This window comes from Homo sapiens, chromosome 15, assembly GCF_000001405.40.
Source record: "Homo sapiens chromosome 15, GRCh38.p14 Primary Assembly".
NCBI classification, from domain to species: domain Eukaryota; kingdom Metazoa; phylum Chordata; class Mammalia; order Primates; family Hominidae; genus Homo; species Homo sapiens.
In genome coordinates, this window is record NC_000015.10 from 29,235,390 (window position 1) to 29,256,048 (window position 20,659).

A 20,659-nucleotide genomic window follows, 5' to 3' on the forward strand; every position below is an offset into this window, starting at 1 on the left:
TCCTTAACATGAAAGTCCTGGCCACACCTTAGCTTTTCTTTGCTACCTTAAAGAGAGTCTCTAAACATGTGAAAATTAAACACCACAGTTCTAAATAATTCATGGATCAAAGAGAAAGCCTCAAAGAAAAAATCAAGAGAACTGAATGGACACAAAACATATCAAAATATGTGGAGTGCAGCTAAAGCAATACTGAGAGGGAAATTTATAGCACTAGATGCTTACATAAGAAACAAGGAAAGCTCTTAAAACAGTAAGCTAATTCCTACCTCAGGAAACTAGATAAAGAAGAGCGGCTGGGCGTGTTAGCTCACGCCTGTAAACCCAGCACTTTGGGAGGCCAAGGTGGGTGGATCACGAGGTCAGGAATTCAAGACCAGCATGGCCAAGATGGTGAAACCCTGTCTCTACCAAAAATACAAACATTAGCTGGGCATGGTGGCGGGTGCCTGTAATACCAGCTACTTGGGAGGCTGAGGCAAAAAACTGCTTGAACCCGTGAGGCAGAGGTTGCAGTGAGCCGAGATTGAGCCACTGCACTCCAGCCTGGGCGACAGAGTGAGACTCCATCTCAAAAAAAACAAAACAAAACAAAAAAAAACCCAAAGCAAACAGAAGAAAAGAAATCATAAAGACAAAAGTACAAATCAATGAAATAAAAAACAGAAAAACAATTGATATGAAAACTTTTAACAGGAGTTGGTACTTTAATAAGATCAACAACACTGACAGAAGTTTAGCAAGAAAAATGCTAGAAAACAAAAATTATCAATATCTGGAATGAAACAAAAATATAACTACAGACCCTGCAGACATCCAAAGGATAATAAAGGAGTAATATGAACAACTCTTCACAAGTAAATTTCACAACTTAGATAAAATGCATCAATTCCTTGAAAAACACAAACTACCATAATTCACATAATATGAAACAGATAATTTGAATAGCCCTGTAACCATTAAGGAAATTGGGAAGCCAGGCACAATGGCTCATTCCTGTAATCCTAGCACTTTTGGAGGCTGAGATGGGAGGATCGCTGGATTCCAGGAGTTCAAGACCAGCCTGGGCAACATAGTGAGACTTCTCTCTATAAAACATAAAAAAAAAAAGTAGCCAGGCATTATGGCATGCACCTGTAGTCCTACCTACTCAGGAGGCTGAGGCAGGAGGATTGCTTGAGCTCAGGAGTTCAAGGTTGCATTGAGCTATGATTGTGCCACTGCACTCTACTCTGGGTGACAGAGCAAGATCCTGTCTCAAAAATTTAAAATAAAAAAAGAGAAATTGAATTCATAGCATTAAAATTCTCCAAAATAAAACCTCCAGGCCTAGATAGTTTCACTGGAGAATTCTACCAAATGCCTAAAGAATAATTAACATCAATTCTACATAATCCCTTCCAGAAACTAGAAGTGAAGACTTCACAACACATTTTCTGAAGCTAGTATTACTCTGATACTGAAACCAGACAAAGATAGTTGAAATAAAAAAAAGAAGGAAGGAAGGAAGGAAAGAAGGGAGGAAAAAAGAAAAGAAAAACAACCATAAACCAATACCTCTCGTGAACTTAGAGCAAAAAATCCACAATAAAATATGTACAAACCAAATCCAACAATGTGTAAAGATTACTACATGCCATGGCCAAGTGATATTTGTTTTAGGTATATAAAACTGATTAACATTTGAAAATCAATGAAATCCACCAGATCAACAAGCCAAAGAAGAAAAATTACATGATTATATTAATTGACAAGGAAGAAGCTTTTGACAAAATGAAATGTGTTTTGCCCATTTTCTAATTGGCTTGTTTTTCACTGTTGAATTTTGAAAGTTCTTCATATATTTTAGATACTAGTCCTTTGGCATACATGTGGCTCACTAATATTTTCTCCCTGTCTGTAGCTTGTCTTTTCAACCTCTTCAGGTGGATTTTCGGAGACCTGGTTTTTAATTTTTCTTAACATTTTCCTTTTATAGGTGATGATTTTGGAGTCAAGTCTCAGAATTCTTTGCCTAGCACTAGATACCAACATTTTTTCTCCTATGTTTTTTCTAAAAGTTTTGTAGTTTTGCATTTTATATTTAATCCCATTAGGTTGGTTTTTATAAAAGGGATGAGGTTTAGGTTGAGGTTCACTGTTTTGCCTATGATTGATGAGCACATGAAAAGATGCTTGGAATCATTAGTAATCAGGGAAATGCAATTCAAAACCATCATGAGATACTACTTTGTACCCACTAGGATGGCTTAAAACAAAGTCAGAAAAGAAACGTTGGCAAGGATGTAGAGAAACTGGAACCCTCACGCGTTGCTGCTGGAAATGTACAATGGTGCAGCTGCTCCGTAAAATGGTCTGGCACTTTCTTAAATGATTCAACTAGAGTTACCAAGTAACCTGGCAATTCTATTCCGAGGTATTAGGTTGACGCAAAAGCAATTGTGGTTTTTGCCATTAAAAGTGATATACCCAAGAGAAATGAAAATATATGCACATAAAAACTTGTATATAAATGTTTATAGCAGCACTGTTCATAATAGCCAAAAGGTGGAAACAACCCAAATGTCCACTGATGGATGAGCGGATAAACAAAATGTGCTTAATCCACACTATGGAATATTATTCAGACATAAAAAAGAATGAAGTACTGATACATGCTGCAATATGTATGAACCTTGAAAACATTATGCTAAGAAAGAAGCCAGTCATAAAAGACTACATATTATGTGATTCCATTCATATGAAAGTCCAGAACAGGGAAATTTATAAAGACAGAAAGTAGACTAGTGGTAGCCCAGGGATGGGGGCAAGGAAGGAGAGTGAGAGCTAAAGGTACAGGGTTGCTTTTTAAGGTGAAATTGACTTCAATGATGTTTACATACATCTGTGGATATATTAGAAACCACTGAATATTATACCTTAAATGGGTGAATTATATGATACATGAGTGTATTAGTCTGGAGCTAGGCGCGGTAGCTCACGCCTGTAATCCCAGCACTTTGGGAGGCCGAGGTGGGCAGATCACAAGGTCAGAAGATTGAGACCATCCTGGCTAACACAGTGAAATCCCATCTCTACTAAAAAAAAATACAAAAAATTATTCAGCTTGGTGGGACGTGCCTGTAGTCCCAGCTACTCGGGAGGCTGAGGCAGGAGAATCGCTTGAACCTGGAAGGCGGAGGTTGCAATGAGCCAAGATCATGCCACTGCAGTCCAGCCTGGGTGACAGAGTGAGACTCCATCTCAGAAAAAAAAAAAGAGGTTTAATTGGCTCACAGTTCCACAGGCTATACAAGAAGCATGGCAGCATCTGCTGCCGGGGAGGCCTCAGGGAGCTTCCAATCATGGCAGAAGGTGAAGGGAAGCAGGCACGTCTTACATGGCCAGAGCAGGAGCCAGACAGAGAGGAGCGAGGTGCTACACACTTTTAAACAACTAGATCTCATGAGAATTCACTATCATGATGACAGCTCCAAGAAGCATGGTGTTAAACCATGAGAAACCACCCCATGATCCAATCACCTCCCACCAGGCCCCATCTCCAACACTGGGGATTACAATTGAATATGAGATTCGGGTGGGGACATATATCCAAACCACATCAATGACTTACATGTCAATAAAGAGATATAAAATTGTTTTGTTTTTTGAAAAAAATCTAATATTTTAATAAGCCACTCTCTCAAGCCAATACAAGGCAGCTCCAGCACACCCCTGCTTCAGGAGATGTTTATGCCACATGAAGGGAGGAAACCATAATCCTTTCCACATCCCTCAGGTAGACGTGGAAATAAGGATAAGGTGAAAATTACAAAAACCAAGCTCATCATGCCTCCTTCCCTTGCCACCAAATGCTTGTATTTCTTTTTAACACCTGTTCCCCGGGTTGTATAAAAAGTCCTTTGCTAATTACTTTTAGGAAAAGGGCGACATTCTGGCCTTCACCTCCCAGAAACCACGCATCATACTTGAGGCACACACCAGGGAAGAGGCTGAGGTCAAGTTCACCAATCAGAAACACAAACAGACAAGGAAAAAGAAGGCAGCAATCAGTTTCCATCAAAGCCCTCAGCCAGGTGTCAGATCTCCCAGGGACACCCCTCTTTAATTTGGGGGGGACATAGGTAAATATGTGTATCCAGAAAGCCTGGAGCAAGTCGAGAGAGGCATTTGATTAGTATGCAGATCACAGGCACAGCTGGGATCAGGGCTAACCAGACTTTCAAGGATAAACAGCTGACAAGGATATGTCATGTTGTCCCTGCAGTGTGTTGAATCTAATTAAAAAGGACTTAGGGTCAGAAAAACACTGGTGTAATAATGGGTAAGCACAACAGAAATCATTTTATTGTTTACTTACAGGAAACAATACTTTTCCCGTTTACATGCTTGACGTGGCCAGCAAGGAAGAGCTCACACTTCGTACAAAACTACACACTAGTTTTGCATCTCTTTGTTGTGACACACAACCTCTGGTTTAGATTCTTTAAAATTATCTGTATGGGACAGTTTCTCTCATTATTCAAAGAATGACTTTTCCCCAAAATAAATAAGATATATTCCTTCCCTCCGCTGTCGGGTGTTTCTCATGCTCTCCTCTTTTAATTGTCAGTATAATTCTAGAGTAAAAGTCCTATGTGCTATGGTTTGAATAAGCTCCCCAAAAAGCATGTGTTGAAAACTTAATGTTTGGCTGGACATGGTGGCTCACGCCTGTAATCCCAACACTTTGGGAGGCCGAGGCGGGCGGATCACCTGAGGTCGGGAGTTCGAGACCAGCCTGACCAACATGTAGAAACCCTGTCTCTACTAAAAATACAAAAAATTAGCTGGGCGTGGAGGCACATGCCTGTAATCCCAGATACTCAGGAGGCCGAGGCAGGAGAATCGCTTGAACCCGGGAGGCGGAGGTTGCAGTGAGCAGAGATTGCACCATTCACTCCAGCCTGAGCGACAGAGCGAGACTCCGTCTCAGAAAAAAAAAAAAAAAGAAAGAAAGAAAAGGAAAACTTAATCCTCAATGCAACAGCGTTGGGAGGCGGGGGCCTATGGGAGGTGCTTTGGTCAGCAGGGCTCCACCATCAGGAATGGATTAATGCTGATTATAAAAGGGCTTGAGGCTGTGAGTTCAATATCTTGCTCTTTCTTTGGCCCTCTCTTGCCCTTTCACCTTCTGCCATGGGATATTGCAGCAAAAAGGCCCAGGCTAGATGCTGGCCCCTCAATCTTGGACTTCCCAGCCTCCCAAAATGTGAGAAATAAATTACCCAGTCTGTGGTATTCTGCTATAGCAGCACACAACAGACTAAGATGCACTGTCAAGCCAAAATATAATGATTTGTGAACGGCTAACAGCACAGGTTGGAATCTGATGCCAGCTAACTCCCAAGGTCTCAGATTCCCTACCTGTCTCCCATGCATAGTTGTCAGAAGTAAATGAATGAACGTACAGAATGTGCTCAAGCAGTGCCCTGCACACAGCAAGGGCTCAGGAAAGTTAGCGACCATCATATCATCATCATCATCATGATCATCATGCAGTCAGTATTAGGTTTGTATAAAAATATCAAAGAGCACATTTTAAGCTTATGTCCAAACATATACTAAAATGTGTTAAATACGTATCTTTTATGTAATTTTCCACCTAAATTTCTAGTTTCTGTGACAATGCTAAGTAGGAAAAATATTTTAATTCATTCAATGCTATCATAATGAAGATTTTGTTTGTTTTCTTTATAATGAAATTAGTGCCTGACTATATCTAAATTTACAGAAGAAAAAGAACGTATATTCACTGAGGTCAGGCCTGCGATAGCAAAACAGAGGGGATGGGCTAACCGCTTCTCAGCAGGGGTAAAGTACTCTCTGCTGCCTTTCAAAGATGAAGCAGCCCCCTAGATATACAGCAATGTATGAAATGGAACTTTGAGTAGGGAAAACATTGCAGACAAATGCATACAGTATAAGCATATTTGCTTAAAAATAAAACTATACAGTTGGATGACTGTGTACATATACATGTACATAAATATATATGTGCATACACAAAAATGGATACATCATAAAGCAATTGCCTGTGTGGTAGGGAGTAGGAGGCAGAGAGAGGAGGGAGACTTTGTTTTGCTCCAGTTTGTGTACTTCTTGCATCTTTTACAATGAGAATCTATTACTATTTCATTTCATATTTAAAAAGAAAGGGAAAATAGTTCTATTCATTTAAAACCAAATATTCATCAAGCCATATAATGCATTATATTACATTAAATTGCATTTCAAAAGCATCCTCTGTTATGCTTTCATTTAAAAATACAGTAAGAAAAGTATGATGGGAAATCCCAAACTTCTGCAGAATGAATTGAAATAACTGAGTCATTAAAAATCAGTTTATTTCCCAGTGCTTTGGGAGGCTAAGGCCGGAGGATCAGTTGAGGCCAGGAGTTCAAGACTAGCCTATGCAATACAGTGAGACCCCCCCCCACCACCACCCTTACAAAAAATTAAAAAATTAGCTGGGTGTGGTGGTGCATACCTGTAGTGCCAGCTGCCTGGAAGAGTGAGGTGGGAGGATCACTTGAGCCCAGGAGTATGAAGCTACAGTGAGCTATGATTGCACCACTGCACTCCAGCCTGGGCAATAGGTGAGACCCTGGACCCTGTCTCTAAAAAATTGTTTTATTTGTATTTTTATGATTTATTTATTTGAAGACATGTTCTCACTTTGACACCCAGGCTGGAGTGCAGTGGCACGATCTTGGCTCACTGCAACCTCCACTGCACCCCCTGCGTCCCCCTGCCCCCGGTTCAAGTAGCTGGGATTACAGGTGCATGCCACCATTCACACTTAATTTTTGTATTTTTTGGTAGAGATGGGATTTCACCAGGTTGTCCAGGCTGGTCTCGAACTCTTGACCTCAAGTAATCTGTCTGCCTTGGCCTCCCAAAGTGCTGGGATTACAGGCGTGAGCCACTGCACCTGGCCAAAAGAATTTTTTAAATTAAAAAACGTGTATATTTTTTAAAAATCCATTTTTTAAATAAAGTTTTGTTGCTGTCATATTTTAATGTGCATGGAGCCTCAAATTAAAACATAATGAGGCATTTTAAGGGGCATTTGAAAATCAATAATGCTCTTTTCTAATTAATTTAAGTGAAACAGCATGTTTGCTTGAAATCCCAAAATGCCTTTTTAATTTCCTAAGGGGCTCTTCAGACAGGAACAGTTGGGAGGCACTCAGTGGTTCACTCACATGCTCCCCTCCAGGAATGGTGCCAGGCCCTGGATGTGGGACAAGGCGCAGCACAGACATGGCCTTCTCCCTTGTGCTGCTTTGCCATGTAGCGAATGATGGGGAAATGTCAGGGCTTGGAGAAAAAGAGACAGAATGCTCAGAGAACCGCAGAGCTGGGGAGCCCCTTGGACGAGGGCTGAGGGAAGGCCCTTGCATCGATGTCCCACCGACTCTGGAATCTAGAGGTCCAGAAGGAGCCACCTAGAGACCAGCTGGGAGGAAGAACAGCTGTGGTGCAGCGTGCAGGGGCAGCCTGAAGTAGAAAGACCCTGAGATTCTAGCACAGCTGGCAAGGCAGGGACGTGGTGCCCAGGAGTACCACTGCAGGCTAGCGAAGCTGGAGGAGCCAGATGAAAGCAGGCACTCACACGCCACGGCGAGGATGCTGGACAGCGCTCCGAGTCCAGTGGGAAGCACGTGGCTGAGTTTATGTTGTAAGAAGCTCTCTCGCCATGAACACACACACACAGACACACAAATATGTGAATACATTTTGATCACAACAAGCTGGGAATCCATGTTTTGTTGTATTTAACAAAAACCCACAAAATACATCCAAAAACTATTCCTATACAAAGTTACAGAAAATTTTAGTGGATTGTAAAAAGTAGAAATTAGGGGCCACATGTTCTCATGCAATGACGTTAGAAATTAACAGTAAAAGGAAAGCAAAAAACCAAAAAGTCTAACTACCTAAAAAGTTAAGGACATCAATCTGAGCGATGATTAGGTTAAAGAGAAAAGCAAAAATGAAAATTACAAACCAAGTGGAACTAAGTCCACAAGAGCACTGTGTATCAACAATGCCAATCTATACAGTATTATTACTGTTACTCAACTATAAAAGGGGGAAAATTAACAATATGTGAATTAAGAAAGTAGAAGGGGTTAATAAAATAAAAACATACATAGTCAACCCTTCCCTCAAATTCCCCATTTCCTCCCGAGACCCCCGGCTCTAGGGAACTATTAATCTACTTTGAATCTCTAAAGATTTGCTAAAATGTTTATTTTTGAACTGTAAAAGAATATTATCTGTAGCTTTATAACAATAAATTGGAAAAAACAGATGAAATATACAATGTTCGAAAGACATTAACAAAAATGATCCCCAAAAAGAAAGAAAACACGAATAACATAATGAACATGGGAAAATACGTTAAAAGTAGTCAAATTACCTCCCCCAAATTAAAATAAACCTAGATAATTCCCAGGTTATATAAACTGTTTCAGAGCATAAGTCAAATCAAATTCTTCCACTTTCATTTTAAAGTATGCATAATTCTAAGATGAAACTGGACAAGGAGGGCACCTCAAGGTAAACTGTAGGTTATCTCATTTCTGAATGTTGATGCAAAACTCTTAAATAATATATTAACAAAGTGAATGCAGCCTAATGTATACCTTCTCAGCACCAGGACCATTGCCTATTTCTGCAATGCAAAAGTGATTCTGCATTAGGAAATCCATTAATGCAAATCACTACATTAATAAACTAAAGGAGGAAAGCCATATGATCATCTTCAGAGATGTTAAAAGGATGGTGATAAAATTTACATGCATCTTGATTAAAAAAAATCTTAGAAAGCCAGGATGGAAGCGAATACCTCCCATTAATAAAGGCATCTCTCAGAAGCTGATGGCAGACATTACTCTACATGGTAACCCATTAGGAGCAATCCTGTGAAAGCCAGGAATAAAACAAGGGTGTTAAAAAATTCCAGTGTTAGTCAACCTTTTTCCCTGTAAATCCTCACTGTGAGTGAAGGGTCACATCGGGTCTGGGCTGACGCATGTGCGCCAGGAAAAATGACCCAAAAGTTCTGTCCTCTCAGGTCACTGCTTCCTTTTCTCGGACACTGCAGCGTTGAGATGGATATGGAAGGCTGTGGTCATCTCATGTGCTGGGAAGGACGCCTGGATCAGGGAAGCAGCGTGGTGGCCTGCAGGCCTTGGGCCTCCGTGAAGACAAAAGTGTTATAAAAACAACTGATGGAAAAGTGAACTGTGGCTTCTCAGTGAGAGTCTCCCCCACGCAGGCAGTGAACACCGCATGTGGGTGAGAGGGAAATGGAGCTGCGGGACCTCCCAGTGATGTGAAGATGCTGTCCCTGCTGTGTCTCCTGTCCTGTGTCCTATGAAGCTCAGCAAATGGGGAGATTTGCTAATAGAAACCATCTCTCAGCAGCATGCTTGGTGGTGGGTCACTAAGAGCTTCTCATTAAATTCAGGAGCAAGAGGTGGATGATGAAATACCATCATCTAATGTTATTTTAACAAAACATCATTATCCAATGTTATTTGAACAGTTTTAGCCACAGCAACTACACAGAAAAGCAAAACAAGATGTACAGATACTGGAAAGCAGAAGAAAATGTAATCATTTCCTCTGACAAACTATGGGATCAAAGATTCAGGTGTACATTCAACTGCTTGTACAGTTCAATGCAAGTAATAAAAAACTGCAAAAAGTCTTACATGCGGCGAGTAGCCTCTTCAGTATAAAATAATAACTAAAACAGGCATCCACCAGAGCAAGAAAATATTTACAATACCTAGGACTAAATTTGAAACATGGAAAGTTCATATGTATATTTTAGAAAACTATAAAAGTGTAGTAACATTTATAACAAAATAAATCCTAGATCGATAAAACACATAAATATTTAAAAAATAAAACCCGAAAATACTGAGGGGATAGTAGAAAATTATTTATAATCTTGGAGTGGGAAAGGCTTTTCTAGGAAAAACACATAACCCAGCAATCAAAAGGGTTAAAATACGTAAATGAATAAAACCAATGTGAGTACAGAAAATACCCACACAAAGAATGCCATTCAAAAAGTCAAAAGATGCATAACAAACTATTAAAAATATATGTTTGCAACCAATATAACAATAGCCAGTTTCCTTAACATAAGGAAGTATATATATGTATATAATATATATAATATGTAAATTATAAAAACAACAATATAACAGTAAAATAGGTAACAAACGTGAAGTGGCAGTTAACAGATAAAGAAATATAAGCAACTTATAAACAAATATAAAGATGCTCAACTTCACTTTTAATTAAAGAAATGAAAATTACATAATAAAATTGTACAATTTTGTCAGATTGGTGAAGACAAAAACAATTCTGACAACACACAAGTTTGGATCTGGGTAACCAGGCACAGGCTCAGACTGCTGGCAAAGGTGTGAAGGGGTGCCTTGTGTTTGGAGAGCAATTTAGGAATAAGATTCTAAATTTAAAGTGCACTCATGCTCTGACTGCAGGGACGGTCTTAGTGATTTTTTTCTCTAGATCTGTTTGCATTCCTTCCTTGTTCACTGCTACACCCCCAGCACCTAGGCCAGTTCCCCAAGCAGCAGCAATAGCCACTCAGTATCTGTTGAGTAATGAATATGTACAAAGAATACTATTCAATCGGGCACAGTGGCTTACGCCTGTAAACCCAGCACTTTGGGAGGCCAAGGCAGGTAGATAGTTTGAGTTCAGGAGTTTGAGACCAGCCTGGCCAACACGGTGAAACTCTCTACAAAAAATACAAAAAAAGTTAGCTGGTTGTGGTGGCACATGCCTGTAGTCCCAGCTAATTGGGAGGCTGTGACGGGAGGATCACCTGAGCCCAGGGAGGTTGAGGCTGCAGTGAGCCGTGATGGCACCACTGCACTCCAGCCTAAGCAACAGAGTGAAACCCTGTTTCCAAAAAAAAAAAAAAAAAAAAGGCTGGGCGCAGTGGCTCATGCCTGTAATACCAGCACTCTGGGAGGCTGAGGCAGGTGGATCGCCTGAGGTCAGGAGTTTGAGACCAGCCTGGCCAACATAGTGAAACTCCATCTCTACAAAAAAATACCAAAAAAATGTATCTGGGCATGGTGGCGGGCGCCTGTAATCCCAGCTACTCAGGAGGCTGAGGCAGGAGAATCGCTTGAACCCAGGAGGTGGAGGTTGCAGTGAGCTGAGATTGCGCCATTGCACTCCTCCAGCCTGGGCAACAAGAGCAAAACTCCATCTCAAAAAAAAAAAATTATTTGCATGTTCATTTTAGCAAAAGACTAGAAACATCTTTTAACTTATCCTTCATTAAGGGGTGGTTATATGAATTATCACACATCCATCCAGTGGAATTATCCGCTACTCCCTGTTTAACAGCAGAGAAGACCTCCAAGTGCTGATGTGAAAATGTCCCAGGCTACATGGTTGACTACAAAATCCATGTTGAGTAGCCCACGTGTGTAAAAAAAAATCCATAAACAAAAATATGTGCAGATGATGACTGGAAAGGCACACACACACACACACACACACACACACACACACACACACGCAAAACCCTGTAGCAGGAAGGGGAGGTGCTAGGAGCCCAGAATAAAAGATTGACTTTAGTTTAGATATCCTTTTTATGCAGAGAACACTAGCTAGTCTTAAATTATGCAGAGAAAAAAACACAATCACCACACAAACATATGGAAATGTAGTAGGTATCCTAAAGAAAAACAAAAACTGGAGTGAAGAAGTTGAAAAGAATTTGGATAAATCAAAGCATACACTGTATGTTCTGGAATGGAAAGACATGGTATTGTTTAGATGTTTTAATTTTCCCTCAAAGTAATCTACAAATTTAATATGATGCCAATTCAAATCTCAAATCCATTCTTTCCAAGTCTTGGCAAAAGAAAATCAAAGTGCATCTAGAAGACTAAACATTTAAAACCAGGCAAGAACATTTTAAAGAAATAGATTAAAAGTCCGGGATGGGGTAAGCGGTAGAACTTGTCCTACCATGTATAAAAATAGATTATAAAGTCAAGGTAATTTAAGTGGTATTGCTCTGGAATATGAATAAACAGACATATGAATGTTGAATGAATATGAATAAAAAGTCCAGAAATAGACAAATGGGCACTACTATCTGTGTGCGCATGTGTGCATGCAATGATAACACTGGCAGAGTTGATATTGGTTGTTTCTTCACCACCCAGCATACATGTCCAGCTTCCCTCCCCCAACCCTGCTTAATAGCAGCCAACTTTGTTTCCGGTATGTCTGTAAAAAAAAAGTAGCCCATGTGTGACTGAATTCAGTCTGGTAGGACAGGTAAGCAAATTATCATCCTCCTGTATCCAATTAAACACTCCCTCCCAGCTCTTTGACTCTAATGCAAACAGACCCAGAGGTAAAGAACCATAGGAATTGTCCACTCCTGCAGAACTGCACCCTGGCAAGTTCAGGGTTCCCACTGTAGGCCCCAGTCTCAGTCAGATTTCTGAGCCAACAGAAGAAGCTTCCTTAGAACCAGCCAGTTTTCAAGCCTGATCTCTAGCCTCCTTGATGATTCAATAGGCCCCACTATCCTCACAATAAATGGCCCGTGGCTTTCTTAGTAATTGTAACTTGCTGCAAATGATTTTTAATGATCTGGGTGACATTTCAAATCAGCAGGGAAATACTAGAGTATTCAGAAAATGGTTTCAGGTAAACTACTAAACTGTTTAGAGAGAAAAAGTTCAATTCATCGAGTAGACTGTAAAATACTAAAGAGTTAACTATATTAAAAAAAAGCACACCATAACCAGGAAGTTATTGGGGTAGCATAATCTTGGAAAGGAGACAATCTTTTTAAGCATGATTCTAAGGTAAGATTACAAAGAGAAACATTGGTAAATTTGAATATATAAAAATTAAAAAGTTTTCTACTTTTCTGACAAAAATTAAAAGGCAAATAACAATCCAGGGAATATATTTGCCCAATATAAGTCAAAGGATTCAAAACTATAATATATAAAGAGCTCTTATAAATCATTGATAAATATTTAAATCTATAACTGAGTACAGAACACATACAGACAAAACAGAGAAGAAAATAAAATATAAATGGTGCATAAACATGAATATATGACATAATTACACATATATGTATAAATACATATAAGCTTATGTATATGCAATTATAAATGACTAAAAAGTTTAATCTTACTAGTACTCAAAGAAATTCAAATTAAACAATGAAATCATCTTATATCTTTCAAATTAGCATGGATTAAAAAGAATAACAACTTTCAGTGCTGGCAAAGGTGTAGGGGAAGAGCATTATCATATATTGGGAATATAAATGGGTAAACTTCCCTAAAAGGCACTATGTCAATATGCACCAAATACTCTAAAGATACATTCATTTTTATCATGTATATCTAATTTTAGGAGCTGTAAAAAGGATTCAATTTGTATAAGAATAATGGCCATCTCTCTAATTGCAAAAAGCAGAGATATGGTTAAATAAACAATGTTACATTCATACATATAGAGTAGTCACTACCAATAAAGTTGTAGAATATTTTAAAACATGGAACAGGCCGGGCGTGGTGGCTCATGCCTGTAATCCCACCAAGGCAGGCGGATCACCTGAGGTCAGGAGTTCGAGACCAGTCTGGCCAACATAGTGAAACCTTGTCTCTACTACAGTATAAAAGTTAGCTGGGCGTGGTGGCCCATGCCTATAGTCCCAGCTACTTGGGAGGCTGAGGCAGAAGAATCGCTTGAACCCAGGAGGTAGAGGTTGCAGTGAGCTGAGATTGTGCCACTGCACACCAGCCTGGGTGACTGAGCAAGACTTCATCTCAAAAAATAAATAAATAAAACATGGAACAATGTGATCAGTTAAAAAAGAAATCACAAGGCAGCATGAAGTGGATAGCACATTTAAATACATTAAATATATATGTATACATACATGCATGCATACCCATACATCCATATACACACACATTATGCACAGAAAAGACTGGAAGGACATAATCAACTGGGTGGTAGGACTGTGAAGTGTTTTGTTTTTTGAATTTCTATAGTAAATGTATAATTTTTATATATGAAATTTTGTTTTTTGAATTTCTATAGTAAATGTATAATTTTTATATATGAAATTTTATATATGAAAGGAGCATACCTTTTATGTGTTGTATAGGTTTTGCAATATTCTATGAAGAACTCAGGGTAGGTCATGTCCACACTGAACAGGTGTATTAGTCCATTCTTGCATTGCTAGAATGAAATATCTGAGACTGGGTAATTTATAAAGAGGTTTAACTGGCTCATGCAGGCTGTACAGGAAGCATGATGCCAGCATCTGCTTGACTTCTGGGGAGGCTTCAGGAAACTTACAATCATGGTGGAAAGTGAAGGGGGAGCCAGAAAGTCACGTGGCCAGAGCAGGAGCCAGAGAGAAAGCAAGGAAGGGAGGTGCCACACACTTTAAACAACCAGCTCTCGTGAGAACTCACTCCCTCACTATCATGAGGGCAGCACCGAGGGAATGGTGCTAACCACTCATGAGAATCTGCCCCCATGATCCAATCACCTCCCAGCAGTCTCCACCTCCAACGCTCGGGATTGCAACTGAACATGAGATTTGGGCAGGGACACAAATCCAAACCATATCAATAGGAAAGGGAAGCAAGGCCGAGAAACAGTGAGTGACTTGTCCTAAGTCACATAACCAGGAGGTGGTGAAGCATGGCTTTGATCCTGGATTGCTGACTCCAAATCCAGTACTGTTTGTGCTGCACACATTGCCCCCAAGCAAATGAACACACTGGTTTGTAGCTCTGAGATTTCTGGCCTTGTATGAGCCAAGGCAGAGGGACACCTAGGATCAAGTTCTAAAGTGAGGGAAATATTGATGATTCTGTGGTACCATCAACCAAACAGATGTATGTGAGAGTACATATCTGTGGTACATGATGTTCTTTTTATGTATCCGTGGAGGTATAGAAAGCGGTAAGAAATAGAGGAGACCAAATCTCCCTTTCCTATACTTCCATGCAGTCTGCGATGTGGGAAAACGGTCTGAGATTAAGACCAGGAGGGGTCAGCCCTTCAAGCTTGGGCAATGTGTGTGGGCTTTCTTTTTGGTGTGAACCTCCAGACACTGAGTTTCCCTTCACCCAATCACTCTGTCTCCCCCACACAGAGCCCTGCACTGGAAAATGAGAGTCTAAGAAAAAAATGGCCAGTTCCTTGTAGGTCACCAGATTTTGCTATACTCATAGCACCTAGTATTTAGGAATAAAAAGGCTGGCCAAGTTATGAATACAAGATGGCAAGTTATCCTTTCAGATGGAGATGGGGATCCAGGTTGTGTCAATTGTCAATCTTAAGGGGGTCTACACCATACCGAGAATACTTCTGTGCACATCATATAGGGATGAAATCTGATCAATGTTCTCTAGGCCACATTCAACAGACAATAACAAGATGAAGCCCCAACAATTCATTTTTGTAACTCAGTGGGCAGCTTCAGCATCGAAACTGTGCCAGCGACACTGGTCCTGCTGGCCTTCGTAGATAAGAATGCAGAGAGCAGCAGGCTTTCCAGTGGCTGCCCCTGTGAATCCAAACAACATGGTCCCAAGCCAAGCAGGCATGGTCCCACAGCAGAAAAGCTTCTGGTAATTCAGCAATCACTTCTCAGAATCATAGCCACAGGTAGAGCAGGCAGAGGGCAACTGTGGAGGGACATGGCTCTGAAAGGTAGCCTGCTATTGCTTCCAAGACAAAGAAACGAAGGCCCATGTCCCCATACCCAGGGAACCACAGTCCTATCAGGAGTTTAAGTATATTCATACCAGAATGCAACCAAACACACTGCAATTTCTGTCACAGCCAGATGTACCTATTACAGTACCATGAGCTAAGTTATTTTGAAATGATCGTTCTATCCAACAAACAAGTTGTTGATCTTCTACAACAAGCTCGTCCAACCCACCACGCTGCATGCAGCCCAGGACGGCTTCGAATGAGGCCCAACACAAATTCGTAAACTTCCTTAAAACATTATGAGATATTTTTTGTGACTTATTTTTTTTTAGCTCATCAGCTGTCGCTAATATTAGTGTATTTTATATGTGGCCCAAGACAATTCTTCTAACGTGGCCCGAGGAAGCCAAAAGACTGAATACCTCTGTTCTACAATGTACACAGCACACTGTCTACAATTTTCTGAATGTGGCCCAACACAAATTCGTAAACTTTCTTAAAACATTATGAGTTTTTTTTGTGACTTTTTTTTTTTTTTTTTTTAGCTCATCAGCTATCGCTAGTTTTAGTGTATTTTATGTGTGGCCCAAGACAATGCTTCTTCTAACGTGGCCCAAGGAAGCCAAAAGATTGAATACCTCTGTTCTACAATGTACATAGCACACTGTCTACAATTTTCCTGGATCTGAAAGAAAATTCTTTTTAATTGAGAAATGCTAACTATATTGTTTTGATATATTCGTCATCCAGCATAATATGTACATCAGCACTTAAAACTGACTTGCAAACTGATTTTTAAAAATTCAATACAAATAAGAATCAATGCAACAAATGCTAAAATATAATAGTTACTAAGGATATTTATTCCAAAATAGCACTACGTTGTGATCCTTAAAAATATACTACTAGTAGCTGATTTACAAGAAGAAAAAGTTTTAATTGTTCTACTTATAAATCAGTAAGTGAATTGTTATCTAACTTATAGAAATAAATCAGCTTAACCTAAATACCCTAAACTAGAAAACATCAGAATGAATTGAAAGTGTACATGAGAACCTAAGAATACAGTAAAATTATTTTTAAAATTGCTCTTGTACAAAATCAAATCCTATGACCTTTATGAAAGGGTTTGCATTTCATTACTTACCAACTGGCAGCCTTCTAGGGAGTTGACTAGCTGAGCATTCTGACAAGAGAGAATTGAACCAGCCAAATTCAGCATTACACACACTGCAGAAAGCAGCATGAAAAAGGTTATCTGGAAACAAACCAAACATAAAATTGATTATTCACTTGGAGAGGCTCAAAGGAAAAATGACATGGCTTTACAACAGCTTTCATTTATTATACAACAGTTGATCACATAATTACATGAATAACATGTATGTGTTTTAAAGGAAAGTGGTAGGTTATTTCTCAAACTTCCAAATTCATATGATCTGAAATAGAAAAAGTAAGATCTGTAGGAAGCCATAGCAAGCTACCATGATTTTGTTTAAAACCTATGATGATAAAATATTTAAGGAGTTAAACTTGAAAGACTGTGCATTATATACTCTTAACAGTGACAAGTTACACATTATTAAAGGAAATCAAGTGAAAGAAGTATATTTATTAGAAGGCCTTTAGGTTTAATTTTTATTACAGAAAATTTCATACACATGCAAAACCAAAGAAAACAGCATAATGAAGGCACATGTGTCCATCACCCAACATCAATAATTAATCCACTTACGGCCAACTGTGTTTCATTTACAGCCCCTACCATCTGAATTATTGTGCAACCAATACCAGGCATCATATAATTTTACCCTTAAATCTTTCTAAAGGAATTGAGAAGCTTTCTGAAAACATAGCCAAAATAGTCATCATATCTATAATAAATAAAAATTCATTAATATCATCAGATACTGAGTTCACATTTCCCTAATTGTCTAAATTTTTTCACACTTTGAATCAGGCCACACAGGATACAAAGCAGGTCCATGTGGTACAACTGGCTGTTAGGAATCTTAGACAGTCTATGGGTTTCCCATCCACTTTTTCCTCTGTGAAATTTACTGAAGAAACCAGTTCATTTGTCCTAAAGAGTTTCTTACAGTCTAAACTTTCTGATTGTAGTCCTCTATCATTAAACATTTCTCTAGCCTCTGTATTTCTTGTAATTTGGTGATTAAATACAGAGGTTTGGCCAAATTCAGATCAATAAAAGGCAAATATTGTCTCTCTCTCTTTTTTTTTTTTTTGTGATGGAGTCTCACTCTGTCGCTGGAGTGCAGTGGCACAATCTCGGCTCATTGCAACCTCTGCCTCCCGGGTTCAAGCGATTATCTTGCCTCAGCCTCCTGAGTAGCTGGGACTACAGGTGCGCACAACCACACCCAGCTAATTTTTGTATTTTTAGTAGAGACGGGGTTTCACCATGTTGGCCAGGACGGTCTCGATCTCTTGACCTCATGATCTGCCCTCCTTGGCCTCCCAAAGTGCTGGGATTACAGGCATGAGCCACCACGCCCGGCCAATATTGTCTCTCTTTTTGTGATGTTAGCGGCCATTTTTAATGATGACAGACTCATTAATTTATTAGGGTTTCCAAAATAGTGCTAGTCTCACTCTGTCATTTTTTCTTTATGAATAAGAATACATATAGAGACACAGACTTTTCCTCATCAACTGTTTTGTTACCCTGAGGTATAGTTCATATATGAAAAGCAGGATATATACTTGACTCTTTCTGTTCATTTTCCAGGCTTTAAAATAATTTTAAATTTTGCAAAATGAACTCAAGGAAGTCTGTATGCTTAATTAGCACTCTTTCTGCACCTATGTAAATAATTAGGCCAAATCTAATGAAGAAAGACCCTTTTTGTGATGGAGAATAACCTTTAAGATTAATCTGATCAAGAGGCGGGGAGACTGGCATTAAAACTTGTTAAAGAGCAAAAAAAAAAAAAAAAAAAAAAAAAAAAATTCACTGGATATTCTGTCTAATGCACACTTCAGGGTTATTTCTGCCTTTCAATGTCTTTATGCTATTTCAAAACTCTGCATAAAACTGATAAAACTGATAGTTTATCAACTGATAGTTGTATAAAACTGATAGTAGTGCAAATGATTCTTGACGATACAAATGTAAAGGAATTTTGTCCAGTAGAACGTAACTGATTATTGCCCCACTGATATTGGCCACTTTTACATTTATTTGTAAATTTATTTCAGCATTCCTGATTGCTTATATGTGTGCAGTGTTTGAATTAACCTTTGAACTGCTTGTAACATCTTACTGATTTCCTCATTAAATAATGAGTTAGACATAGTCTTTGACACATGTCTATTTTTTTAAAAAGCTGATTCCCGGCCAGGCGCAGTGGCTCATGCCTGTAATCCCAGCACTTTGGGAGGCCAAGGTGGGTGGATCATGAGATCAGGAGTTCGAGACCAGCCTGACCAACATGGTGAAAGCCCATCTCTACTAAAAATATAAAAATTAGCCGGGCATGGTGCTGCGCGCCTGTAATCCCAGCTACTCAGGAGCCTGAGGCAGGAGAATTGCTTGAACCCAGGAGGTGGAGGTTGCAGTGAGCCGAGATCTCCAGCCTGGGTAACAAAGCGAGACTCCGTCAAAACAAACAAACAAACAAACCAACAAACAAAAACCTGGTTCCCTAGCATCCTCCAAAATTAACAATATCATGAAATAGTATTTTGTCTGTTTGGTGGAGAGGGGAGTGAGTTTGAGTCATTATGAGCCAAGAACTTAAACACATTTGATAGTTTTAATCATCTGCATCATTAGACAGAGTCCACTCAAGTTGACACCTGGGTCCTTTCAACACAACTCCAGTAGACCTTGACAGCTATCTGGCTTTCTGTATGAGAAGATAGTACAGGATCATCTTACAGTTTTCTACCCAAGAGACCTATAATCAGCCATTTCTCCAGTAAGTCCAGGTTCCATTCAATGAGAATGGTATTCAGATACCATAATTTTTGTGCTACAGGTGCTGTTTGCTACTTGGAGCTTCATTGTTTTCAGTTGTCAGACATATCATGAGTTCACAATTATGTTTCTGATTTAAATTCAACACTACTAAGTTTTCACAATGAGATACCATCTCACACCAGGCTATTACTAAAAAGTAAAAAATAACATGTTAGCAAGGATGTGGAGAAAAGGGAACACTTATACACTGTTGGTGGAAATGTAAATTAGTTCAGCCACTGTGGAAAGCAATGTGGAGATTTCTCAAATAACTAAAAGCAGAACGACCATTCGACCCAGCAATCCCATTACTAGGTATATACCCAAAGGAAAATACATTGTTTTGCCAAAAAATAAAAAACCCCACCTTCACCCATATGTTCACCACAGCATTATTCACAATAGCAAAGTCATAGAACCAACCCAGGTGCCCATCAATAGTGGCTTGGATAAGGAAAATTCCATGGTACATATACACCATGGAATACTACGCAACCATAAAAAAGAACACAATCATGGCCAGGCGCGGTGGCTCATGCCTGTAATCCCAGCACTTTGGGGGGTCGAGGCGGGCGGATCAAAAGGTCAGGAGATTGAGACCATCCTGGCTAACACGGTGAAACCCTGTCTCTACTAAAAATACAAAAAGTTAGCCAGGCATGGTGGTGGGCGCCTGTAGTACCAGCTACTCGGGATGCTGAGGCAGGAGAATAGCATGAACCCGGGAGGCGGAGCTTGCAGTGAGCCAAGATCACGCTACTGCACTCCAGCCTGAGCGACAGAGCGAGAGTCCGTCTCAAAAAAAAAAAAAAAAAAGGAACACAATCATGTTCTTTGTAGTAACAT

At 39.6% G+C, this 20,659-nt stretch overlaps 1 protein-coding gene across 7 annotated transcripts in view; it reads right to left on the reverse strand.

Annotated features, from left to right (window-relative positions):
• The window catches only part of ENTREP2 (endosomal transmembrane epsin interactor 2), a 557,698-nt gene that overhangs the window by 117,678 nt on the left and 419,361 nt on the right, over positions 1-20,659 (reverse strand). For all 7 annotated transcript variants that reach the window (NM_001387217.1, NM_001387215.1, XM_047432323.1 and 4 more), the window contains exon 3: positions 16,979-17,089. In NM_001387217.1, coding sequence (NP_001374146.1) covers positions 16,979-17,077 — 99 coding nt within the window. In that variant the 5' untranslated portion in view covers positions 17,078-17,089. The remainder of the gene's footprint in view (positions 1-16,978; positions 17,090-20,659) is intronic.